This window comes from Homo sapiens, chromosome 2, assembly GCF_000001405.40.
Source record: "Homo sapiens chromosome 2, GRCh38.p14 Primary Assembly".
NCBI classification, from domain to species: domain Eukaryota; kingdom Metazoa; phylum Chordata; class Mammalia; order Primates; family Hominidae; genus Homo; species Homo sapiens.
This window is the reverse complement of record NC_000002.12, coordinates 78545531-78573353: the sequence shown is the minus strand read 5'-3', so window position 1 is coordinate 78573353 and position 27823 is coordinate 78545531. Positions and strand designations below refer to the sequence as shown.

Here is a 27823-nt window from a genome sequence, read left to right as displayed (position 1 = left end):
ATTTCATAATTCCCAAATCTCCAATAACAAGATATTATAATCCAAATTCCAAGCTCCAGGTTGTCATACCATGGTCTTCTGCATACTGATTATAGAAGATAGGCTGTGATCAACTCCACAACCCAACCTAATGCACAGGACGATAGAAGATGCAAGGGTCACTTGTGTACATATCATTCATAAACTATCATGGAACAAGTAACAAAACAAAGTAAGATTAATCTCCCTTAGACCTATTCGTAAGATTAATTTCCCTTAGACCTATTCAATTTCCCTTAGGTAGACAGAATTAGATTATGAAATATTTTGGGTAGTCTTCCATTTTCACCATATATTCTCATCTTGCTTAGCAAAATGAGCTGAACACATTGTCTCTTTCGAGTATTTGATGAAAGGTGAGACCTTTAATTTGGTGAACTTCCTGTTGCAGGAAATATTCAATATTGTATAAGTGAGACTTTGATTTTTGTTCTGATTCACACACCGCTAATTACAGAGTAAAACTCAGCAGTAGCCTGGACCCCTATGGTAAATAACAAAATTTTAGCAGTAAAATGGAAATGATAAAGACATTTCACTCCTCAAATTCTGTCAGGAAATACTGGGAAGATATTCACTGCTAATAAAAATGTGCATATTTGCTAAGGTTGTTAATATATTGCTTGCATTATCACAGAAACAGAATCACAAAGTTTTATAACTTGGTAACACTGCACCCAGTCTCTTACAGACATTTCACAGCGACAAAGCATTTAAAAGGAGCATTGCAGTCAGGTAATTCTAAAAGTTACTTCTGTGTTTGCTTAGGGCACCATAGGGAAATTTCAAACTTAAAATTCATCTAGTCAACTATGTGCATTGTATACGTTTTACAGGTAGATGATATCCTGTATTTATGATAGTTGTTGGCAGACTTGCAGCTCACATACAAAAATGAGTGGTAGGGGCCATGCCAACAAATGCCATCAATCTGTGAGACACTGATGCAAAGACATGCAGACGTGCAGTAAGTAGTTGTCAATATTGGAAACAAGTATTTTATTACTTCCTTCTGGTGTGTGGGACTAATTAGAGGGTGGTGGTGTGTATGTGATGGCCACTAATGCTCATCAAAACCCAGTTGCCAGGATGTGGAATAGGAACAGAGGTAGATATCATCATGTGTGTAATTGCATATGATTGTTTTATTATGGTCATTAATGTAGATGCCTCCTTTTCCTCTGTCTTTGTGACAAGCCTCTCTTTCTTCTCTTATTTGCCAACATTTTCTTTTTTAGTATTCTTGGCATCCATTCTGGTGTGGAGCATCACATTTAGTTAGATTTTCAATTACTTCTCACAAAAATGCACATCATCTTAAAGGAGTCTTTAACATAATATGTTTGCATGTACATGTACATATATAGTACAATCTGATACATAAATCATGTACTATTGAACTGTTGTACTGATGAACTGCTGTACTGTTGAAAAGGTCTGTGATCTCATGTGGTTATTTAAAAATATATCCATAGATTATTGATACTCTTCTCTTCAAAAGGTGAAGTGTGATTCCCACTGTAAAAATGTAGGTTATCCTTTTTTTTTTTTTTTTTTTCTTTTTGAAATGGAGACTCGCTCTGTTGCCCAGGCTGGAGTGCAGTGGTGTGATCTCAGCTCACTGCAAGCTCCGCCTCCCAGGTTCACGGTATTCTTCTGCCTCAGCCTCCCGAGTAGCTGGGACTACAGGTGCCCGCACCCACGCCCAGCTAGTTTTTTTTTTTTTTTTTTGTACTTTTAGTAGTGACGGGGTTTCACCGTGTTAGCCAGGATGGTCTCGATCTCCTGACCTCATGATCCACCCACCTCGGGCTCCCAAAGTGCTGGGATTACAGGCATGAGCCACCGCACCCGGCCTGTAGGTTATCTTTTGTAACTCACTCCTAAGGAATAGAATGTGACAGAAGAGTGAGTTGTGATGTCTAAGATTAGGACATAAAATGCACCATGTCTTCCCCCTCACTTTCTTGGAAAATTTGCCAGGTGCCTTATTATGATGATACTCAAACAGTCCCATGGAGAGGTCCAGTAATCAAGAACCCTACAGCAAAGTACAGAGCAAGGAAATGGAGCCTCAAACTAACAGCCATCTGGGTTAGCTATCTTGGCAGCAAATCTTCTAGCACCAGTCAAACCTTCAGATGACGGCAGCCCTGGCCACTCACTCAACTAAAACCTCATAAAAGACCCTGAGCCAGACCCACCTATCTAGGCAATTCTTGGATGCTTGACCCTGAAAAACTGAGAAGATCAATTTGTTTTAAGCTGCTATGTTCTTGGTTAATTTTTCATGCAGCAATAGGTAACCAATATGCCCAAGCCTCCTTCATAATTTAATTGGACAGTTTCTGAGTCTATTTCATCCAGGTTGGCTAAGCCATTTACTATGCATTTGAATAAACAGCAAGGAGAGATGCACTGTGATGGCAAGTGCCACTTGACATTAAAAATCACTCAGAAACGTGTCATAGGTTCTGTCTGCAGTGGCAATTTATTTTGTAAATCATTCTACATTCAGCGAGTTCAAGGCATAAATCTAAATGCTAGTCAACTCTTTAGTTATTGAGTCTTGAACACCTACTATGTATCAATATATATTACAGATACTGGTGATACAAAGATACTGAAACAAACATAATTGATCCCCTGCCTATGATTGTTTAATTAATGGATGTGTAAATCTAGCCACAGTATTTCTGTTTGGGATTATTTGTTACAAAATACACTTACCATTAAATGTACAATAACTCCTTAAATTGAAAAATTGAAAGATCTTTCTCTCTCTCTTTTCTGTCTCTCTCTCTCTCTCTCTGTCTCTCTGTCTCTCTCTCTCTCTCTCTCTGTCTCTCTGTCTCTCTCTCTCTCTCTCTCTGTGTGTGTGTGTAAATAATTATTTGTGTTCCGGAGTTGTCTACTCAGTTTGTCATTTCCTGTTTCTAGTGGATGTGATGTTGGGATGGCTCTAACGAAGAAGCAAAAATGATAAAGCAGAATGTTCAAGGCACTAAGAGTCAGATCTCCCAGCTCTTCTCCAATTTTGCCTGTGACTAGTCATCTGTCTTTGGGTGAGTCTCACGTGTTTCTCAAAGTTCTTTATGTAGTAATGCTGTGCCCCCTTTTCTTTGCCCTAAAATTGTTACTTCTGAGTAGGAAAGGGTGCTATTACTCAAAATTCCCACTAGTGTTCTGATTTCACAGCTGTGTGCCCATACTCTCTCCATCTTTTTTGTTTCTATTGCAATGTGCAGTTGTTCCTCTCCTCTCCCCTCCTCTACAACACATACGGCGGAAAAGTTAACTGATTTCTGCAGATATGCAATCCTCAGTGACCTTACCCAACACCAAAAGTGTTGACATTAATCATAAATTGGATTTCTGACCTTGAGTTTCTTTTTCTTAAAATACAGTCATGTTTCCATGAGTCAATCAATCACTACAAAAATAAAATATTCATTGTAAATTATTTTTATTCATAACATTGTGCTATGGCATTATGAAAAATCTTAACTGTAGTTGTATAAGTCTTTATCTGTAAAATGTAATAGTGCTACTGGTGTCCATCATTTTAAAGTCTGTGCCAAATTTGAATATTACTTTTTACTATTACATTTACACATTTTTGCATAATTGCCATCGTGTTACAGAAAAAGTATTTTGCATGCTTTTATCACATGGCCTGATACTGTATTTTCCTTATTTTCTATGTCATCTTAACTATGTTTTTAATTAGTTGAATAAAATTTGCATAGCTTGCATGTTGAAGATGACAACTCTGAACCTAGTGATCCAATTCTCAAAAATAAACAATCAAGGGTTAAAATATAAGGAGGCATAACAGGTTGCAAAAAAGAAACCATGAAGTTTATAAGCAGAAAAATGAAAAAAATGACTGTCATATGCTTTCTCTCTAAGAAAAACCAACGGAGTCTCAAGAGAAGCCTGCAGTGCAGATAATTGTATGCATGGTAGTTTAGAAAGGGAATAACGAGGCTAGGCTGAGGTTATTTTTCTGTTCTATCAGGCAGATAGAGACTAACGGAGTAGTCAGTGAACAATGGGTAGGAACCAGCAGGTTTGTAAATTATGCCTGGATGCCTCACAAGCCCGCCTCTGACAGGAAACGACAAATGCTCATCGCTGAGTTACTTATTACTGTGGAAAAATCACTCATTTGTTTGACATTGCTCTCCCACCAAGGGGGCCTTCTGTTGTTATATCCCTTTACAATTTAAAAATTTATAGTGAAATTAAATTCTATTACTTATTGTGGCTGTGTACTATCTTAAGCTACCATTAATCACAAAGGCAGAGAATACAAAGGAATGAGTCCAATGCTCTGTCTTTAAGGAACTGAAAAGAAGTAGGAAATCAAATGCACAACTGGAAAGAATAGGGACTAGATAATGGCAAGAATAGAAGAACGCCTATTTTGAGACCTTTTATGTTAACAGTGGTGATAAATTACCCTGTAATTCAGAGTATAAGTATTGCATTTGTAATATGTTATTTTGGGAAACAAAGCCAAACTTCATTATGTCATGCTGTGTTATTTCTACAGCTGGTACTATTGTTGGCAAATGTTTTTGAAAAACCTTAATAAGACAAGGAAAATGCTCCAATTGGTCTCATTACTAAGAAGTGATGTTTTCATTTAGACTTTTCAGATAGTCTCCTGATCTCACTTGATTACATTGATATGAACAAATGCTTGGCTTGGAAGAGCCCTTGGTTTCTACAGACCCGGGGTCCACCAATTGCTCTTTCTGGGTTTCATGTGTTCTCTGTGGCACTTCCAAAATCTATCCACAGATTCCTTTACACTATTCCCATCACCAGGAGTTATCTGTATCATCTCCCCCTTGAAAACGGGCAAGTTTTGCGATGTTTTTGAGCAACAGAGAATGGCAGCATTGGCAAAGCACCATGTGACTTCTCAGTCTAAGTCACACAAAGGCACTGCAGGTTCTGCATTGTTTGCTTGAATACTCACTCTTGAAAAATATTAGCTGCCATGCAAGGAGTTTGATTACATGTTTCTGTTGACATGCTATGAGGAAGCCTAAATTAATTAACACTGAGAGACTACATGGAAATAACACAGGTAAAGACTCTAAGACTCCTGGAGAAGAGAGTTTTGCCCAGACGTCCCCAGCTGCTCTATCGTCCCATATATCTTACTCTATTATTGAGTTGGAACTGAATGAGAGAACCAAATTATCACGACCTGGTTCAGCTCTTTCTGAATTCCTGAAGTTAACAGAATAAAACAACGTGGTTTTTTAAGCCAGTTTGTGTGGGGCAATTTGCTATGCAGCAATAGACAGTCAGAACATTTTCTGAACCTAAGTGAAATGAAGATGTTTCCTATATGAAAGGATAGGTGAGGGCAGCACTTATGTGTACATAGTTCTACCCCAAGCAGTTACTCAGTAAATTGGAGCACTAGCAAATTTTTAAACTATACAAAAGTTTCATAAATAGAGGAAAACATCCAGTCAAAATTCCAGCCTTCTAGTGTAATAGGCATGAAATTATCCACAATACTTGAATTGTCTAAATCAACTTGGATTTGTTTAAATCAAATGAAATCTGTCACAAACCATAAATAACTGGATTGGGAGAGTAGTCCAATCTCACTCAGTCTCTGCTTTCTCCCTGCTTTGGATAATCCCAGAACCACAGAGAGAGTGCATTTCTCTAAAAACAGTTTCCCTTCTCAGTCAGAAAAGGTCCTGAACCTCATTGCTTTGCTGCTGGATACTGTATCTCTTCCTGTGCCTGCCCAACTCTAATGGCGCCGCCACGGCAGAGTTGTAGAACTCTCACTACCGTTTCTTTCCATTCTTCATGTATCCTCCTTCTCCAACGTGGCTGCCTTGAGGTAGGGCCCTTTGTAGAACCCATAATCTTGATCTTCTTCTTCACAGTGCTGCTAATTTATTTTTTATACTAAATACAACAAATATTCATGTCATTCTCTACTTCCATGATATCTTCTGAGGACTCATGTGGAAGGCCTGTGGCTAACTCTAACTTCAGGCATTAGAAGCCAGAACAGTGAAAAAGCCCCTTTTTAATGGAAACAATTCTAGTATAATACCATTCTGTATACTTTCACTTAAGAGTTAATAATCATTTTATATTTTAACATTGATTTTATAATTAAAATTTATTCCACTATTGCATTAAATAATTTTTAAAATTTATTGTTTTTATGTCTTAGTATAGAACTATAAAATCTTGACTATTTTATAGAACTTTTTTGTATATTTTGTTGAAAAAAGCAAATATAAAATATTACTGTGATTTTTTGGTGAGATCCAGTTACCCAGCATTCAATAACAGCTATAATTTTTATTCCTGTATGCTAACACGTACATTTATGTACAAATACATTTTATGTATACACATGTGTATATAACTTGCATTCATGTGTATGCAAATCCAGCATTTTGTACGTTACTGACACTACACTAAAAACAATGTGTGACATCAAAATAATCATAACTTTTTCAGTGAATTGACAATAGAAATAATTGCTATATTTTATTAATCAGTTGTTCAGTTCCTGGGCCAAATTAATTTGGATTTTAAGTGCTATGCAATAGTTTTACCACTAAACAGCTATTAACAATGGCTTAAATAATGTTCTGAAGATTTGATTAATAAATTCATCATTAATAAATAATACTATGCCACTGAAAACTTGAATATAAAGTGTATCGCTTCCCCAAAGCAATCTAAAATGTTAAAAACCAGCTATGATTTGTCCATTGTTAGACAATTTACTCTTCTCTGTGTTAGCCTCAGAGGAAAGATGTGGAAGTAATTACTTTTTTACTGTTCTTATTCTGACTGATATATGTTTATTCAGTGTGATTTCATGCAAAATGAAGATATCATAAAAAGGACTCTTCTGCTCTAACAGTCCCTTTGGAAATCAAGGATTCATAGAAAATATCATTTTTAGACTTAAAGAAAAGATGTCTTGTTTTCAAGTTCCACATTATGCAAAAATCTCTTACTTAGAGTTACAGAATTTATGGGAATGCTGCCTTAAAATTCCATCCTGACAAGAACTGCCTGAAAAAAAATTGTCTGCTGTTCACATAGCCAGTCTCAGTCATGTGCAACTTCACCATGTGTATCTTCACCATGGCTCGGAAGTACTGGTTTCTAGTTAGAACAAAAGAGGAAAGGAATAACGAGACCCAATAACACACACTTTTTTTGCTAGCTCATTGTATTTAAATATGATACTGTGCTGTGCATTTCTCTCTCACTGGTAAGTTCTTAGGCCCCATACAGTCAAATGAGTTCTGTTGTTCTTTGACTTTCTGATTTTTGCAATAATATCTGTGATTACTTCTCATCTGTTCCACTGGGCAATACTCACATCTCTCACTCATGTAAGCAATGGAGATAGGAGTGACTCTGGCTGCTCTGTTGAATCAGGAAAGGATAGAGATGATTTAGTGTCACTTTTATTTTACCAAGAGACAGAAAATAACAACTTACTTAAAGGCAAATGACTAGCTGATGGGTAAGCCAGAAGCGCTAGGATTTCAGTTAGGAACACTGCCACCATTTTGATATGTCAAAAATGGGGGAAGGATTATCATTGTCAGCAGCGGCTGCTCCTGCGGTTATTATTTTAGACTTTTAACTACATTTTATTACCTTATCTCACCCTTCCAGTGTGCCACATTTGAGCTACTACTGATTTTTCATCTCATAAGGCTGAACTCTACATTTCTAGATGAAATGTGACCGTGTACTTCAGCAGTGCCTGGTCCTCATCTATTGGGATGTCCTACAAACCACTATTCCTATCACTGATCAGAGGTTGCTTCCTGTTAACTGCGTCGACCTCCTGGATTGCTTTTATTCATCTCTAACCACTGACCTTTCTCCTTAATTGTCTCACCTCTGTTTTGACTATTATCTCCGAGTTATTGCCACCTTCTAATGTTTCTGACTACATGTTATGATAACAGATTTTTCAGACCCCTAGTACCCAAAACACCAATAACTGGGTTTCAACTCATCAAGGTGATGGACTTGTTTATGCTTATTTTTAATAGAGTAAGTGGACTTGCTTGCATCAGACTAGTACATCTTTCTAATTTCTATAATTTTCATCATGGTAAGCCACATTTTTCTGTTTGGTACCCTCATTTATTTACTTGATAATACAGAGTCAAACCTTTGCCATGCTTTTTAAACATGAGACTAATACAATATGCCATTTAAAATTTTCTCTTTGTATGGTTAGTATATGTCACTCCATTATTCATGTTAGTTGAGAAGTGTAGTGCTATGTTCTGGTAACTCTTATTTGTTATTTGCTTTATACTAATATGTATAAAGACTGGATATATACATGAACAAGAGTCAGGGTATAAATAAAAATAGAAGTCTGGCTCACAACCTGCAGCAATCAGCCAAGAAAGCCAACCTACTATCTGTTGCAACCACTCTAGGAAGTCAAACAATACCCCCTGTAGCTAAGTATAATTAAAATAGCTTGCTTCCAGCAGGAAGTATAATGAGAATTTTTTTTCTGTATTTCTAATGCTCTATTTCTAAAAGTTTTTGATTAATTTTTCCTTGGTAGAGAGGATGGAAAACATACCTCCTAAGAAGAAAATATTCAGACTATTATAACTATATTAATTTTGTATTCTTACACATTGTAAAGACCATGTGATTCCATTTTAAGCAATTGGCTCAAAATGACCAGAACTTGATTAATAACTGATGGCTTTCCCATTCTTTGCAGCTGCTTCCCACTTAGGACCAACTGGAGAAAGCAAAATAATGCACTCTTAATCGCATATGCTTCCCCACTTCTAGTTAGACCACCTCCAGCATTCCCATGCCAACAGCCTCCGAAAAGGGCATACCTAAAACCTTCTGGTTTTTCTACTACAAAGCTTTCCCAACCCTCAGTCTGCCTAAGTCTCTGTAAAATGCAAGTGATGATAACTGTTTCTCTTGCTATAGTAAACTCCAAGAAAAAAAAAAAAAAACCTGCCTTTGCTTGTTCTCATTTGGGTGGTCTTCATCTATTTCCACAGTTAAAGCCATATTGTGACACATTTTAAGACAAGAAAAGGGTTAAGGGTAGTCTTTCTCTGATAGATCCGATGATGATGCTCCTTGGAGATGCCTTGAAAACCCAGGAAGCTCCCTTTGACTGGAATCACCACCATGGGTAGTGAATTGGTTACATAAGAACCGCTTGATATACAGGTTTCCTCAGTCACCGCTGATGTCTTACAATCTCTTTGAGCCTAATTTGCCTCATCCGAAAACAGGAAGATAAAGAAATCTATCTCATGAGTCAGTTGATTGGAATAAATAAAGAAATGAATACAAAGTAACTACGATGGTGTTTCTAAATGCTCCTTTCTTTTATCCTTTAAGGGCATCTAACATTCATTATCAAAGGAAAGTTGTGATGGACTGTCATTTCCCCAGAGATCATTTTTCTGGTTGAGGATGAGGTATGTATATTAATTCTTGCTCTCTTTTATTCTTAATATATTAGTTAATTAATTTAATTTAATTTCAGTGAATGCTTATTATATACAAGATTCTTACTTAGATACTGGAGCCATGGAAGAAGACAAGCATGGGTCCTGCCATCTTACAATGCAAATTTAGGAAAACAAGTGATACACACAAAGTGATAGAACAGATAGAAGGAGAAATTCAAGAAGCTGTAAGACTGTTTAGAAGTGATATTTAGTTCAAAATTGCACACTGATAGCGTATGTCCAAATATGATTGAAAGAACCATATTATTGCTGGAAAATAAAAAAAATCATTATCATACAAAGAAGTTTAAGAATTGAATAATTACTAAACAATAGAAAATAGATGGGATGAAAGTGGTAGAATTATCAAAAAAACAAGCCAAAGAGAATAGATACTAATAGATACTGAGCACCATGTACGATGTATTGTCACTTAATGCTTAATGAAGTAGATATAATTTTTTTAACTTAGTCTTTTAAATAAGTCAACAGTTCCATGATAACATGTCTGAAGTCACACAACAGAAGTCGAGAAGCTGTGCTAGCAAACCAAGTAGCTTGGCTCCACAGCCCACGCTCCTAACCAGTGAATTTTGCTGGCTCCTGAGGTAAATGAAAGCAAAAATGTAAACAATTATACTCCATGGAAAAATGCAGATTTCAAATTCTACAAACAAAAGGAGGAGGAATTTCTTTCAAGGTTTCTACTTTGGCAATTCAGTAGGTAATTGTGCCAGTTAATAAAATAAAATCTCTGGAAGACATATGTGGATTTGGTGGGGTTGTTTCTTGGTTTTGTTTTTGTTCTTGATCAGGAAGAGACTCTAGGGTGTTTTGGCCAATGACTGCAAAATTGAAATAATAATAATTTAATAATGTATAGTTTTTATTATAGTAAATATATAATCTTTGAGCTAATTATAATAACTATTGCTGTTGCATTATTTATAATATGGAAAAGCTAAGTGGAGGCTATTTAAGGAAGGGCTTATCGCTATATCTAGAATAGTTTATAAGAAAAGATACAGGTTTAAAAGTATTATTTATTTTACTAACACTTTAGTGAATAATCAAAATGTTGTTTCTTCTGTAAATTATGTTAGATTCTATTGTATTACCTTTGTGATATACATAGTACCTGGAATACAGTAATTGCACAATAGAACACTTAAACAATAAATACATTTACTATAATATATATTCATTTAAAGAATATATAAGTAGAGACCAGAAGTCAGATTTTCTAGATTCTGTTGTGTGTGTTCTCTCTGTCTCTTTCCTGAAACAGGAGATGAAATACAGCACTGGTTAAAAAACTCAAAAAAAAAACAAAAAAACACCTCTACCATCACCAAATGAACCATGTTTCTAAATTATTAGCGCAATATGAGCTGTTTAAACTTTATTTAAGTTACTGAAACTTCGCAGTAATACTTTTTTAAAAATATTGAGTAACTTTTGAAGAATTCAAAGATTTGGGGCTTTGACATCTGAACGTGTGTGTGTGTGTGTGAGAGAGAGAGACACACACACACACACACAAACACATACTCAAACTTACATCCTCTTGACATTTTCAAATGTCATTTTGATATATTAAATGCTATTATACAATGATAAAAAATCTGCTCCCCACCCCCAGGAAATGTACTTCAGGGAGCCTGAATAACATTTTGGCTGAAAATACTCAAGATGAGCCAAGTACAATGAAAATAGCTTGAAACTAGCAGGAAGTGTGACAGAGAATTCCTTTGCTGTGTTTCCAATGCTCCATTTTATTTTAAATTGGCTATTTTTTTCCTTTGGCAGAGAGGATGGAAAACATACCTCTAAGAAGAAAATATTCAGACTGTTATAACTATATTAATTTTGTTTTCTTATACATTGTGAAGACCATGTGATTCAATTTTAAATAACCTGAAGGAAAAAACAAGTTGTATTAAGATTCTCAGTTTCTTGAGCAATGCATTTATATGGTTTGAGCTTTTTGAAATGTTATGTAAGTAATGCTTCAAATCATCTCCCTTCCCCCCTGCCAGTGTTTTAGAATATCCTAAGTTGATGCTAAATTATTAAGATATTTAAGAAGTCTTCATTCTTTCCACAAATTTTCACAGGTAATATAATTTTTCCCTGACCCAAATGAAAAGCAAATCAAAAACATGTTCTTTTCATAATATCTTTAACCAATATCTTTAATTGAGGGAGTAATGGAAATGAAGTAGTGAGAATGAAGTAATACAAGAAAATGACAAATAAGAGTGTTGTCATTCAGGCTTTATCACAAATACAGCCAGTTGTTAAGTCTTTGCCTCCCACTTATGATAGTTCATTACCTGATATGGGTCCCAGTGTAGGTAGAGGTAATTTTTAAGACAACTATAGTTAAAGGGAATATTAAAGGGGTCTAAATGTTGTCAGTGTAGCTACATTTCACTTGAAGTGGTAAATATTCAAATGTCTATCTTCTGTTTGTTGCCATCATCTTTGTTTCCTTTAGACTTTTTTAAAATCGAGGTTTCTTTAACTCCACATTGCCAATATTTCTCAATTATCTTTAATTTATCCTGAAGATTTTTTATGAGAGAATTAATACAAAGCCACCATTCGTGTGAGCATTGCTTTTTAAATAAAATATGCATACTATTTCCCAGTAATGTAAAGTTTAATATATTATTTTGGTGATTTAGAAATCTGAAGGAATGAAGCATTCTGGTGAGGTTTAAAAATGAGTCCATTTATAAATTTGCAGTCCTTATTTCTAAAACTCTTTAAGAATACAAGTCATATTTCTTCTATAGTAGATGTGTAATGAATTAAATTCAATCCTTGTAATATTAATTGAAAACCTCTAGAGATTTAAAATGAAAAATATATTCTAACTTTTTACTCTTGATAGATTAGAAATATTTTAAAAAAGCATTGTCAACTAATGTGCATGCACATCCCTCCTCCAAAAGTTTGCTTTCTTATTTGCATATTTTTCTTAGGCATGAAGTACCAGTGAAGAACTGTCGAATTCTCCTTTGTGAGGTAACAAAGATTTTTGTTAGCTAATGCATCACAATTGTTCTTTCAGGAGAACATTTCATAGCACATAGCAGCATATTTTATAATTCAATGACAACTTGATAAGCATTGCATTGGGAAAAGCCACCCAAAGGCTTAGTGTTGGAATTAGAGTGCCTAGATAAAGATAAAAATAAATTGGAAATTTGAGATTTTTCTGTGGGCAAATAAATAAAAATATGTTATCATTAAAGGTAAAGTAACTAAAGTTTATACCCTACAGAGAAAACATTGCTTTGATTTGAAATTGGAAAAGAAACAAAAATGTAATGCCAACCATACTTTTGGGCTATCAAGGACCATTAAAGCTATCAGTGACAAAACTATGTAAATGCAAACATTGAGGTCTTTAGTAGCCACATCCCATCAACTGCCAAATTTGGTTTAATTTGATGGGTATGAAGTCACACAGGGATGTCAATTACCAGTCACCATCCGTCTGACTTACTTTCTGGAAAATGGAAATCTGTGTATATCGTATAAGCCCAATTATAGAGAAGTTTCCTAATAAACCCACAGTAAAGAAAAAAATGACTGAATTAATATATATGTGAATAAAAATAGTGAAGACTTCCATTCAATGAAGCAGAGCACTGAAAACCTTAACTAGCAGGGCCTCAGTATACTTATTCTTTCACTGCTTTTCTTACAAATGCAGATCAATACAAGAAAAAGGAGTGTATTCAGTTCTTACCAAAAACGCACGCGCGCACGCACACACACGAGAAAACAAACAACAACAAAAAACAGAACAAAACAACAGCAGCAACAAAAGGTACCATGTTACATAAACCAATTTGGAAATAGGCAATTTAAATTTTATTTTATTTTAATGCCACAGTATCTTCAGTTAAGCTGATCAAATAATAAATGGAGTTAAACACAGTTGGTTTATACTGTGTTAAAATATTCCTCTAATTTGAAAGAAATACATACTCATAGAGAAAATATTTGAGTTTGATATCTGTCTTTTTAGTCATTTTTCTCCCATTTGGTATATATAATTGGATATATATTATGATCATTTCCCTAAAGGTTAAAAGTTTATATCTAATATATTATGTATTTTTGCCAATATGATTTTTAATGATCACATAATACAGATTTGTCTAAAAATACTTCAGAAAATTTCCCATTTCCCATTAACTTATAATATCTTTCTGTAATGTTAACATATAACCATAAAAATACATCAAATCTAAGAAATTAACATTATGAAACTAATAAGTAAACTAGACTTTCTTTGAATTTTACAGTTTTTTCCATTAATATCGTTCTTCTGTTTCAGGATTCAATTCGGTATTTCACATTGCATTTACTTCTATGCCTGCTTAGTCTCCTTCTACCTGTGACAGCTTCTCAGTTTTCCCTTTTATGATTTAGACACTTTTGAAAAATTGGTAAATTACTTTATTTAATGCCCCTCAATTTGGGTTTGCTACCAGTTTGATGTTTTCTAATGATAAAATTGTGTTACACATTTTTCTTGAGAATACCACAGAAGTGATATTTTCTTTTCGGTGAGTCATATTAGGGGTTAAAAACATTAATATGCCTTATTACTGATGTTAATCTGAATCACTGGTTTAAGGGATAACTGCCAGGTCTCTCCACTATAAGGTTTCTATTTTACTTGAGGATGATGCATATATGCTGTGCTTTCACTGTAGTATCTACTATCAAACCTTGCTTGCAAAAATTATTACTGTGAATGGCGTGAACCCGGGAGGCGGAGCTTGCAGTGAGCCGAGATCGCGCCACTGCACTCCAGCCTGGGCGACAGAGCGAGACTCCGTCTCAAAAAAAAAAAAAAAAAAAAAAAAAAAAAAAAATTATTACTGTGGTATTTTAAGGAGATTCTCTATTTCCTTCATTTTTGTGCATTTATTAATCACTTATGGTTAGTGCTTTTTGAGACTCTATTTTAAAAAAATCTGCCTTTCCCGAGCTCATGAATGAATTATCCTCTGTCATCTTCAATGAACTTTATTGTCTAATTATCTATACTCAGACCTATGTTTAAATGTATAATTAATTTTTGTGCATGGGATGAGATATGGGTGAAAATAACTTTTTGTATGCAAATCCAATTTACCCAACACTATTGATTAGGAAGCTTATTATTTCCCTATTGTATTGCAGTGGCACCTTTGTCATAAAATAACTTTGAATGTATGTGTAGGCCTATTTATGAACTCTACTCTGTTCCCTTTATAAATGTGTTTATCCTTAACCTATACCCTACTGTCTTAAATACTGCCTACTGTCTTCATTACTGTGGCTTTATACAAATTCATGATATTTTGTATTGTAAGTTCTCCAATATTGTTCTTTTCCAGATATGTCTTGGGTATTTTAGATGTGAAGCATTCCCACGTCTACTTGAGAAGCAACTTCCCAATTACTAATAAAACTTGCAGGGATATTGATTGGGATTTTGAGGAATTTATGTATCTTCTTTACAATATTGAATTCTTCAATTCATAATCATGTTACAAACTTCCATTTACTGAAGACATCTTCACATTTTCTCAATAGTGACAGAGCTTCCAGTGCTGAGGTATTTTATGTCTTTCATATTGATGATTTTTTTTGCTGTTGCAAATGGTATCATATTTATAATTTCATATTCTAACAGCTTGTTGGTGTTATACAGAAATAATTTGTCCTTTTATTGTATATTGGCCTTAAATCTTGCAACCTTCCTAACTCAATTTTTATAGTTTCCTTGTAGATCCTTCTGCAGTTTCTTCAATTTTATTTTCCCTGTATAAAAATTATTTTATACAGAGAAGTTGTATATTGTCCCTGTATATTTTCTTGTATGTTTTATTTTTTTCTTTCATTATTGCTTTGGTAGTAATTTCAGTAAAATATAACTAGAAATAGTGATACAGGATTTCTTTACCTCATTCCAAATTTCAGAGGGAAGTTTTCACTTTTTCTGTAAATGATATTTGCTGCAACCATTTGGTTATTGTTACATAACTTCTTCAGCATAATAATGTTCCTGTTTTTTAGCTGGCTGAGAGAGTTTGATTTTTATATAAATAGGTGTTAAATTTTATAAGAGCTTAGTCTGCATCCATTGAAGTTTATAAAGTTTTTCTTTTTTTGTAAATTTGGAAAATTACATTGGCTGTTTTTTAAATGTTAAATAACCTTTGTAGTCCAAGATTAAACCCAGTTTTGTCATGATGGATACATTGCTTTGTCATTTATATTTTTTATTTGCCAATTTTGCACTTATATTTTGCATCTATGCTGATAAGAGGTATTGTCTGCACTTGTTTTTTCCTTTTAATGTCTCTGCAAGCTTTCAATTATCATGGTTTTGCTTACTTCATAGAATTAGTTGATAAATGTTTCTTCTTTTTCCATTCTTTGGAACATGTGTATAAAGTTGATATTATTTCTTTCTTAAATGTTTGAGAAAATTTGCCAGTCAAGGTTATTTAATTTGGAGATTTATTTATGGGAAGGTTTTTAGTTATAGATTCAATTATTTTAATTAAATATAAAACTATTAAGATTTTCCACTTGTTTTGTGTTAATTGGGGTAACTTTAATTATAATATCCTTAAGATCAGTAATGATTTTGCCTGTATCATTCTTAATATTGGTAAGTTGTACCTTCTTTGTACTTAATTAACTTTTCTAGGGTTTAACCTAATAGTCTTTTCAAAAACTAACATTTAGGTTATGCTAGCTCTCTTTTGTTTCTCTACATATTTTAAGGTGGTTTTTTTCTAGTTCTGTGAAGAATGATGGTGGTATTTCTATGGGAATTGCATTGAATTTGTAGATCACTTTTAACAATATGGTCATTTTCACAATATTGATTCTACCCATCCATGAGCATGTGATGTGTTTCCATTTGTTTGTGTCATCTATGATTTCTTCCAGTAGTGTTTTGTAGTTTTCCTTGTAGAGGTCTTTTACCTCCTTGGTTAGGTATATTTCGAAGTATTTTAATTTTTTTTTTTTGCAGCTGTTGTAAAAGGAGTTGAGTTCTTGATTTGATTATCAGCTTGGTTGTTGTTAGTATATAGCAGAGCTACTGATTTGTGTGCATTAATTTTGTATCCTGAAACTTCCTGAATTCATTTATCAGTTATAGGAGCATTTTGGAGGAGTCTTTAGGGTTTTCTAGTTATACGATCATATCATCAGCAGTGACAGTTTGACTTCCTCTTTACTGGTTTGGATGCCCTTTATTTTTTTCTCTTGTCTGATTGCTTTGGCTAGGACTTCCAGTACTGTGTTGAATAGAAGTGGTGAGAGTGGGAATCCTTGTCTTGTTGCAGTTTTTAGAGGGAAAGATTTCAACTTTTCCCTGTTCAGTATTATGTTGGCTGTGGGTTTGTCATAGATGGCTTGTATTACATTAAGGTATGTTCCTTGTATGCTGATTTTGCTGAGGATTTTAATTATTAAAGGATGCTGGATTTTGTCAAATGTTTTTTCTGCATCTATTGTGATGATCATGTGATTTTGGTTTTAAATTCTGTTTATATGGTTTATCACATGTATTGACTTGCATATGTTAAACCATCTCTGCATTCCTAGTATGAAGCCCACTTAATCATGGTGGATATATGTTTATGTGTTGTGTGTTTATGTATGTATGCATATGTATGTGTATGCATGTGTATATGCATATATGTATATATGTGTATATATATAAAAATACATACCTCTGCTCTTTTACTTTGCTTTGTTTTTAATCAATATTTTTTCTCTTGCTTCAGTTTGGATATATCATATAGCCTTATCTTTCATGTCACTAAAACTTTTCTCATTAATGTCCACTTGACTAGTAAACACATACTGAGTTCTCAAATTCAGGATTGTATTTCTCTTTCTAGAATTTCATAGAAAAAAAATCCATTTTTCCCAATACTAATTCTATTTCTTTAGTGAAATATTCAACCTCATAATCTATTTGTTGAATACATTAAGTGTTAAATTCTGAAGGCACCTAATGTATTATAACTGACCATCATTACTTAGGGAGTCCATTGATATATGAATAAGTCATGCATTTGCCATTGTTTGGATGATGCGTTTAAGTAATGCATTATTGTTTTTTCTGGAAACAAAGACATTTTTTATTGGAAATTTTTAGTAACTATTTATAAAATTTTAAAGAAAAGTGGAGTATAAAATATTAAAGTAATTTAATAGATTACTAAGTCTGTGAAGGCTGGGGTCCACCTACCTATTTTCCAGTTTATAAAATACTGATTTGTTGAAGTGGAGATAGAGCTAGCGAAAAATATTGAAGTATTAGTTGTTATAGATTGGCCTCATGGGCTTTATATCTTACTCAAGTGATTAAAGTATGTTAATTTCAGATAGTGAAGCTCTCCAAGTCTTTTGAAACTGAATGTATTATTGAGTGAGAATAAGTATGACTTGGTCTTTAAAATTAGACAAGCAGCACTGACTTTAAACTCAGACAAAGAATAAAATACATTTGATTGTAATGGTATAGATCTATAGCTTGTAAAATAAAAAAAAGCTCGTTTTTCTCTCTACTGCTACAAAAGATGGTGTTGACTAATTTGACTATATTCCATTTAAAATAAGTCAAAACCTTTTGTTACATGATTAGGCATAGGGGATACAGTCCCAGGAGGTATGTTAGTGACTTTAAATTTATGCTAAAGTAACTATTATTAGACCCATACTCAAAGGCAGGTTTGAATCTAAGTCGTATTGTGAGGAGAGTATCATAGGCAAACTTCTATTCATAATTCCTCATTGTTATTAGCATCTGTAATTTATATTAAGTTTAGATGTATATGCTCAGTTCTTGTGAAACAATGTAAAGGAAACTAAAAATTGGTGTCCAAACATTAGCAACATACATAGGAAGTTTGAAATGAAGAACAAGGTCTTAGTCTTGGCCTGGCCATATTAGTATTACTTATGCACTTAACAGAGTTTAGCTTCAATAGATAATAGTTATATAAACTGTATACCTATTGTGTATACAAATTTAGACTCAGTATTTAGGCAGCTATATCATCTTTTCTCAAATATGATTTGTTTTCCTGGAGTATTCTTGCTGCTTATCTACACAATTTCTCTGCATTTCTAACTTACCAAATCACCCATTTTCTTTTTTCTCTCCTCTCTCACCATTTACTTCCCTTCTTCTCAGATAATCTCCTCTGGCAATACGTGCTTATCTAATTATGTTCTTGTTTGAGAAATCCCAGAGGCTAACCTTGAAACAAACCAGACATGGAGCCCCTGTTGAATCCTCCCACTTACAGGGAGTTGGCAACAATTAGTCTACAACCATTGGGTGGATGTCAAGATATCATCAACCAGACCTCTAGATGGGTGATTGCCCAAGATAGCAATTGGAACAAAGACACACATACCCTGCACCTCGTACCATTCCTGCATGTCTCCCATACCAACTTTCTCTTTAAAAACCCTGTGGTGAAATTTAAAATGTAAGATAGTGCTTCATTCTTTTTATTTTCTTTTTAGTTTTTGTGGGTACCTTAGAATGCTAGTTCATCATCTCTCAGTTTTCTTGCTCTCTGAATAAACCTGCTTTTCCTCCCACCAACTCCTCTCTCTCATGTCTGGCTTTTGAGCAGCAAGCAGTTGAGCCTGGGTTTCATTACAATAGGATTAGTAAATTGAGTTGGAGTAACCTACTCTGGAAGTCAGACCTGTTTCAGTCATCAACATGGAAATTGGTTGACCTGTGAGAATTCATTTTATTCACCTTGTTAATGATAAAAAACTAGAGAGATTAATAGTATATATTTCTTCATTTTATCAAAAGAGTATATTACGTTGATATAATTCTTTCAAATCTTATTTGATGTCAACTAGATGCTTTCTATATACTTAACAATGTTTTCCTAAGGTACTTGAAATAAATTACAAGAAAATAAAATTTAAGTGCAATTTCCCATTCCTTTGAAAGATAACTTTAGAAAATAATCAAGGAACTTAAGATTTGTTTTGTTTTGTTTGTTTTTCCTGTAAGAGAAATGGAGGAAAGATATGGACTGAAGGAAAAGTGATTTTGTCTTTTTGCAAATGTTTCTTTCATTTTATAGAAAAACATGAGTCTTTCATTATCAAAATTTTAAAAGTCAGTTTCTTACTAACACATATAAATTTTTGTATGTATATATTTTCAGTATAGTATTCAAGATACTTGCAATATTCTGGCTATATAATTACAGCTTAACTCTAACTGGAATGTATATTCATCATTTATCAATGTATTGAAGTAGTGCACTATTTTAATGGGCCATTCATTTTTATATTGTGCAATGACAATTTTAAATGCAAATACAAGAGCATTGAATGCATAAGCAGAATGACCATTACACAATTTGTGTTTCATAGCCTGCACCTGCATATGCATTTTGTGCTTATCAGAACTGTAGAAATATTGAACAAAACTAACTTGACTGTTTTTATTTCATTTCTTTTTAAAAAACTGTTTTACTGAGATATAATTCACATATCATACAATTCACCAATGTAAAGTGTACAATCCAATGGTTTTCAGTTTGTTCACAGAGTTGTGCAACCATCATCACAATCGAATTTAGAACATTTTCATCACCCAAAAGGCAAACTCTATTACCATTATTAGCCATCTCCTGTTTCTCTCCTTCCCTCCCATTGATCACCTCCTCTCCACTTCTCAGCCCTTGATACACACAACACTTTCTACTTAGGCTTGCTGATGAGTAAGGAAGGACTGAAATAAAAAGGAAGCTATGGTTGGACTAACTTTCCCTTTCATTCATGTTAACATTTTCAGCATAAGTGGTTAGTTAATGCAGAGCAATAACGTGAGAAGGAAAGGATATAATAGAGTATTGGTCATTCATTGTTTTAAAGAATGTCATTACCTTATTTCTGTGTTAGAAGACAGTTCTGATTCAAACATAAAAGCATGACATCTCAGTGCTGTCAGCATCTCTGATTACTCATTATAAATATAATGGACTTACTTTGTACCTGCTTTAAGTCTTCTTGAACTTCCACAGATTATAGTTCTACTGGAACTCTGTAGTCACAGGGCATCACAGGTGCTGTATGAGAAGAGGGGTAAGGAGATGCAGCAGGCATGCATTTTGCACATATCTCTTCTGTTCACATGTATGTTCTACTGTCTTACTGGACTTCACTTATAAAACATAAGTTCAGAATAAAATTATTTAGAATTTCAAGATGATGACAGTACACTGCTAAATCAATATAGGAACCTTCTGAGCAAGGAAACTTGTGCAACTGCATAGGTCACAGTCCTATGAACTTGTCCTGCCTGCATCATATCATCAGTGCAAGTCTCTATTGGTGTGCATAGATCTATAAATAGTCCTATCTATAAATACAACTATTAGGATATACATATATAGATCTATAAATAGTCCTATTTATAGATATTTCTATCTACCTATCTATAAATAAGACTATTTATAGATCTATATATAGTATATATGACTATTTATAGATCTATATATAGATCTATAATTAAGACTATTTATAGATCTATATCAACCTATATCTGGCACATATCGATGTGCCAGAGGAACTTCATTCACATGACTCAAGTCTTCTCACCTTTACTAAATTGATTTTTTCTCCAGTATTTGATAACTTAATGAAGAACACCATCCTCACTTCAAGTATTGACTTAGAAATCTGCAGCTAGTCAGCCGGGTGCGGTGGCTCACGCCTGTAATCCCAGCACCTTGGGAGGCCGAGGCAGCTGGATCACTTGAGGTCAGGAGTTCAAGACCAGCCTGGCCAATATCGTGAAACCCCGTCTCTACTAAAAATACAAAAATTAGCTGGGCACAGTGGTGCGTGCCTGTAATTCCAGCTACTCGGGAGGCAGAGACAGGAGAATTGCAGGAGAATTGCTTGAAGCCGGTAGGCGGAGGTTGCAGTGAGCCGAGATCATGCCACTGCACTCCAGCCTGGGCGACAGAGCAAGACTCCATCTCAAAAAAGAAAAAAAAAAAATCTGGAGCTAGTTCAGAATGATCTTTTGACTCCTGCTTCCTCACCACCCACATCTAATCACTTGCCAAGTTCTTTCCATTCTCCCTTTCAAGTATTTCTAAATCTGAAAACTTTGCTCTATCCACTTTAGCTCCTGCCTTAGTAATATAAAGACTTCAGTTAAAATCTTTATATTTTGTTAAATAGAAGTTCTTTAAGAGTTGCACTAATTCTTCCCTAAAAGACCTCTTACACAATTTCCTTAACCAGTGTTTCTCCCTGCTGGTCTATTTTTCATTAGTAACCAATTTTCTTTCTAGAAATAGTATCATGTCATCTGCTTAAAACTACAATACCTCTCCATTGTATTTAGGAAAACATCCAAACTTCTTCACGTGGCTTCCAAAGTCATTCCGCTCATGCAGCTATTTCCAGTTTCATTTCTTACTACTGTTTCTCACTCAAATTCTAAGCTGTAGCTATCCCTACTAATTCTTATTTTTAGAAAATACCATTTTTCTTTCTCTTGTCCTTCTAACACCCCTTTCTCCCTCCCTTTCTTGTTATATCTTTCCATCCTCTCTTCCCTCTTTCTTAAGTATGTACTAAATGCAAGCTGTTCTTTTTTACTTGAATGCATTTTTTTCCACCATCTTCACTCCTGACTTCTCTATTCCTTCTTCATGTCTCAGAGATATCTACTTAACTGTTTCTCAAAGATACATTCTTTACCTCTAAATCTGGTACGCTACTTTAGTGCAATATTACTCACTTTATTTACACCATGTTTCATATTGTATTATACTTCTCTTTTTGCCTGGAATCCCAGGAATGTGTTAACTTCTTAAGGAGAGGCTTGACCTATTGTGCACAACATTGATTGTCCAGCATCTAACACAGTGTCTGACATACTGTAAGTTTTCAATAAAATTGTATTAATGAATAACTGTATTGTATGCACTTACCTTTTTTTTTTTTTTTTTTTTTTGAGACGGAGTCTTGCTCTGTCGCCCAGGGTGGAGTGCAGTGGCTCCATCTTGGCTCACTGCAAGCTCCGCCTCCTGGGTTCACGCCATTCTCCTGCCTCAGCCTCCTGAGTAGCTGGGACTACAGGCGCCTGGCACCACGCCCGGCTAATTTTTTGTATTTTTTTAAGTAGAGACAGGGTTTCACCATGCCAGGATGGTCTCGATCTCCTGACCTCGTGATCCGTTCGCCTTGGCCTCCCAAAGTGCTGGGATTACAGGCATGAGCCACCGCGCCCGGCCTACACTTACATTTTTAGTAGAATATCTGCAAATGCTGCTTTAGAGATTACCAACTGGATATAATTTAAAACCAAATGACATTGTACCAATCTGTGCACCATTAGCTCTGTCTTTTATTTTGATTCTGATATACGAGCTTCTTAACAACTCTTTGCTATTTGAAATGTTTTGGTTGTGTTTCTGAAAATATTTGTGGTATTAAACACTCAGAAGGCTATTTTCAAGATAAATTTTTATTACATTAATTTTATTATTGATCAGGTATGTTTGGTGTTTTATCTTATGATGTAACTTATAAGTAAGTCTACCAATGCCTATTTCTTTTTTTTAGAGGGCACTGGAAATAATGTTTTCAAAAATTACAACAACAGTTTACTTCTACATACTGCACTCTATAACAATGTTCATGTTATCAAGGAAAGAGCAAGCACATAAAGTTTTTCAAGATGTACGATGGGAAAATTGGCAGTCGGCTTTGATAATAGGATAATAAAAATTCTTGGCTAAAATCTTTATATTTTTGTAAAATAGAAGTTCTGTAAGAGTTCCAAGTTTCATTTCTATTCAAGTCTGCCATTTTTTCCTAAAATGAAAGATTCCAATTTAATGATTTTTATAAAGTACAATCTGGAGGTGAGAGAATATGCATTTATAAAGTTAAAGAGAGAACTTTTCAAAACTAGTTATGGTTCTTAAACTCAATTTGAATCTTTAACACTTTCTCCTATAGTTAAAGAAAATGAACTTATTTAAGAGTATGTTTAAGATTAATATTATACTTCATCCTCATTTCTTAGAATTTGAAATAATACAGAATTTTATATGTTATTCAATTTAGCTTTATATCAAATAAGATTCCAGACTTCTTATTCCAAGTTTGAAAGCTCATAGGGCAGTCTGTTAAAATTCTATTAACAACTTATATTTTGGCATTTAAAACTGACATAATTTCAACAGCTTGGGATTTTTAATGTTTCCATATGAAATGATATCTAAAAATTTCATATAGTTCAAAATATCGATGATTTCATCGTGCTTGATTAACATTAACATAGTTGCTTTAAGAGGCAAAAAAATTATTTTCTTTGATTTCATTTTATTAAGACAGATGGGTGGCAAATGGCCATTCAACATGTAATTCTTTTTGTTAACATTTCATCTTTAAGGGTATAATAGATAAAAACGCGGCACACTAAGTTAAGAACTACAGTCCTTTCTCATCTCTCTGATCCTATTATCTCCCTTTCAGCTTTCCTTCATAAGTTCTTTCTGCCTTTGCCCTTTCAAGGAAAGAAAGTCTTTGATTTTCCATAGCATCTTGTCTCTATAGGTAGTATTCATAACCTCTTTGTACCTCACTAAGACTTCCAGTCGTTTCCTTTTCACATAAATGAAAAGGGCTAAACTCTTCTCCTTTAGGAGCCAAAGGCATCCAAACACAATTTTCTGCATCCTCTTTTAGTCCATCCATTATCTAACAATTTCTGGTCTTTTGTTCATAAAGTATATGAGCTTGCATTTATGAAGTTCCTCATTCTGTCTTCATTCCACACTAATTGCTGCTACCATTCTGGGCAATTCAGTCTAGTACCTAAGAACTTAATTGCACATTTCTTTTAATGTCTCAGTTCTGAAGACATATTAATCACCCCTTTCCTTAGCTTTTCTGTGGACAATTTCTTTACCAAGAATTGTAATAACTTAAAATATGAAACCATGGTATATGATACTTTATTCAAAAATTTTTTTATGACTCTTAAGAAGCCCAGCAAATTGCTTTCTCCAACTTTAATTATCAGATAATTGTATACCATACAATTTCATATAGAATATAGTGTCACCACTAAGATCTCTTTAATTCCTTATTCTGAATGTGCAAACCACAATCTGAAACAACACACATTCTTCTCTGCTTTCCCCAATGACAATCATACAGCATGTCAATTATACATTTATTATCTTTTTCTTTGGATGTCATCCTGTCCTGTGTCTAGGTTTTTGGACATTAATTATCACTTTTTTTCTTATGGTCCCCTCTTGTCTCTACTAACTCTCTTCCTTCAACATACACATTGATCAAATAATAATTCTTTCTTGGTTTATTTATTCATCAAATAAAAATTAATTGAGTATCTACTAAATGCTTGTTATTGTTACAGGTGCTTGAGATACAGCAGTGAAAATATCAGACATAAATCTCACGTGAAGATTTCTCACATGAAGTTAGATTTTAGTGGAATCCTGAGTCTCCCTACAGCTAGCACTCTATGTATTAATTGTCTACTGCTGAGTGACAAGTTGCTACAATCAAGGGCTTAAAATAACACATAGTTTCTGCAGGTCTGAAAACTAGGTAGGCTTGACTGGTGTCCTACAAAGACAAAATCGAGGTATTGATGGGACTGGGCTATTATCTGGAGATTTTGTTGAGTAATCTGCCTTCAAACTCATTGGATTGTGTGCTGAATTCAGTTTCCTGCCTCTGTAGGACTGAACTCTCCATTTCCTTGCTTGCTTTCATCTGGGGGCTGTCCATAGCTTCTGCAGTCTACCTGCATTTCTTAGCATGTGTCTCCCACCAGCTTCAAAACCACCAACGGTGGGTAGAATCTCCCTCATGCTTTAAATCTCTGATTAATTTTCTGCTCCCAGCTAGAGAAGGCATTCTGCTCTTAGGGCTCATGTGATTAAATTAATCCACCCAGACAATCTGGCTATTTTAAAGTCAACTGTTCCATATACGATAATCATGAGAGCAATATATCATCATAGTCATAGGTTCTAGATATTAAGGCATGGGATATTGAACTGGATGGGAAGTGCACTTTTAGTATTCTGCCTGTCACACTCCATATTTTTGCTATTTTTTTCTTTCATAATTATGCTTGTTATTATTGTGGTTAAAAATATTATTGTAGTTACAAAAATGTAACATGAGATCTCCCATCTTAACAAAATTTTAAGTGTACAGTAGAGTATTCTATACTATTGAGAGACAGGACTAGCTGGATTTCCTAGGCCAACTAAAAATTCCTGAGTCTAGCTGGGGAAGGTGACCACACTCACCTTTAAACACAGGGCTTGTAACTCAGCTCACACCCGACCAGTCAGGTAGGAAGGAGAGCTCACTAAAATACCAATTAGGCTAAAAGCAGGAGGTAAGGAAATAATCAAATCATCTATCACCTGAGAGCACAGGGGGAGGCAATGATTGGGATATAAACCTCCGGCATTTGAGCTGGTGGTGGCAACCCCTTTGGGTCCCCTCCCATATTTTGGGAGCTTTGTTTTTACTCTATTAAATCTTGCAACTGCACACTCTTCCGGTCTGTGTTTGTTCCGGCTTGAGCTGAGCTTTCACTTGCTGTCAACCACTGCTGAATGCCGCCATCACAGATCCCCCGTTGACTTCCACCCCTCTGGATCTGGCAGGGTGTCCGCTGCACTTCTGATCCAGCAAGGCGCCCATTGCTGCTCCCGATTGGGCTAGAGGCTCGCCATTGTTCCAGCGCAGCTAAGTGCCCGGGTTTGTCCTAATCGAGCTGAACACTAGTCGCTGGGTTCCACGGTTCTCTTTGGTCACCCACTGCTTCTAATAGAGCTGTAACACTCACCACACAGCCCAAGGATCCATTCCTTGGAATCCGTGAGGCCAAGAACCCAAGGTGAGAGAAAAAAAGGCTTGCCCCTATCTTGAGAGCGGGACAAGAACAAAGACCTGCCAGTAACACTATAATCACAACTCTATAAAAGACATCTCTAAACTTTGCCATCCTGACAACCACCATTGTACTTTCTGTTTCAAGAGTCTGACTACTTTATAGTAGTCTGACCTCATATAAATGGGATCATGCAGTATTTGTCCTTTATTAACTAGCTTACTTCACTTAACGTTATGTCCTCAAGGGTAATACAGTTGTGTCATATGACATGATTTCCTTCTTTTTACATTTGAATAATATCTCATTGTCTATATAAATCACATTTTCTTTATTCATTCATCTCTCAAAGGACATTTAGGTGTTTCTACCACTTGGCATTTCTGAGTAATGCTGCTATGAATGTAGGAGTGCAAATATTTCTTTGAGAGCCTGATTTCAATTATTTTGGATAAATACCCAGAAATGGAATTGCTGGATCACATGGTAATTATATTTTTAATTTTTTGAGAAACCTCCATACTGTTTTCCATAGTAGCTGCTCAATTTTACATTATCACTAACTACACAGGGGGTTTAATTTCCTCACATCCTTGACAATATTTATCCTTTGTTTTTTCATAGTAGCCATCCTAACAGGTTTGAGGTGATTATATCACTGTGGTTTCAATTTGCATTTCCTTTTATTCCTAGTTTGTTGAGTGTTTCTTTCTTTTTATCATCAGGAACAGGGTTGAATTTTGTGAAATGCTTTTTGTGCATCTATTGAGGTGATTATGTAATTTTCTCTTTGTTCCTTTGTTCTGTTAAATGTGATGTATTATATTGATTGATCTTTATGTTGAACCATCCTTGTATATCTTAGAAATTAATCCCATTTCATCATGGCGTATGATTCTTTTAACATGCTGTAACATTCAGTTTATTAGTATTTTGTTGAGAAATTTGGAACCTGTATTCATCAGGGATATTGGCCTGGAGTTTTCTTTTCTGGTAGGATCTTTTTCTGGATTTTTTATCAGGATAAATGCAGGATTATTTTTGGAATGCTAGAAAATCTTTACTATCGGCCTTACTCTGTCTACCCCCATACACAGAGTTCATAAATTCCCTGTCCGGAAATGAGACTAAGTCACACATGACACTAAAAGCAACATATAAAAATATAGGTGGTGTTACCTTATTTGTTTTTCAGATTTTTTTTCTGCTCCTAGGGTTCTGCCAGAAATGTCAATCTGCCCACTTT

General features: G+C 34.6%; 2 long non-coding RNA genes across 4 annotated transcripts; one reads left to right on the top strand and one right to left on the bottom strand.

Moving 5' to 3' along the window:
* The first annotated feature begins 3009 nt into the window (after window positions 1–3009).
* On the top strand, window positions 3010–15205 carry LOC105374819 (uncharacterized). 2 transcript variants are annotated; one of them, XR_001739194.1, is made up of 5 exons: window positions 3010–3104; window positions 9469–9548; window positions 12572–12614; window positions 13309–13425; window positions 14990–15205. It is a non-coding gene; the product is annotated as an uncharacterized LOC105374819 (long non-coding RNA). The 2 variants fall into 2 exon arrangements; XR_940272.2 differs by lacking the exon at window positions 13309–13425.
* Window positions 7266–27823, bottom strand: LOC105374820 (uncharacterized). 2 transcript variants are annotated; one of them, NR_136312.1, is made up of 4 exons: window positions 27757–27823; window positions 20654–20734; window positions 11409–11498; window positions 7266–7482 (listed from the first exon to the last, which is right to left on the bottom strand). It is a non-coding gene; the product is annotated as an uncharacterized LOC105374820 (long non-coding RNA). The 2 variants fall into 2 exon arrangements; NR_136311.1 differs by lacking the exon at window positions 11409–11498.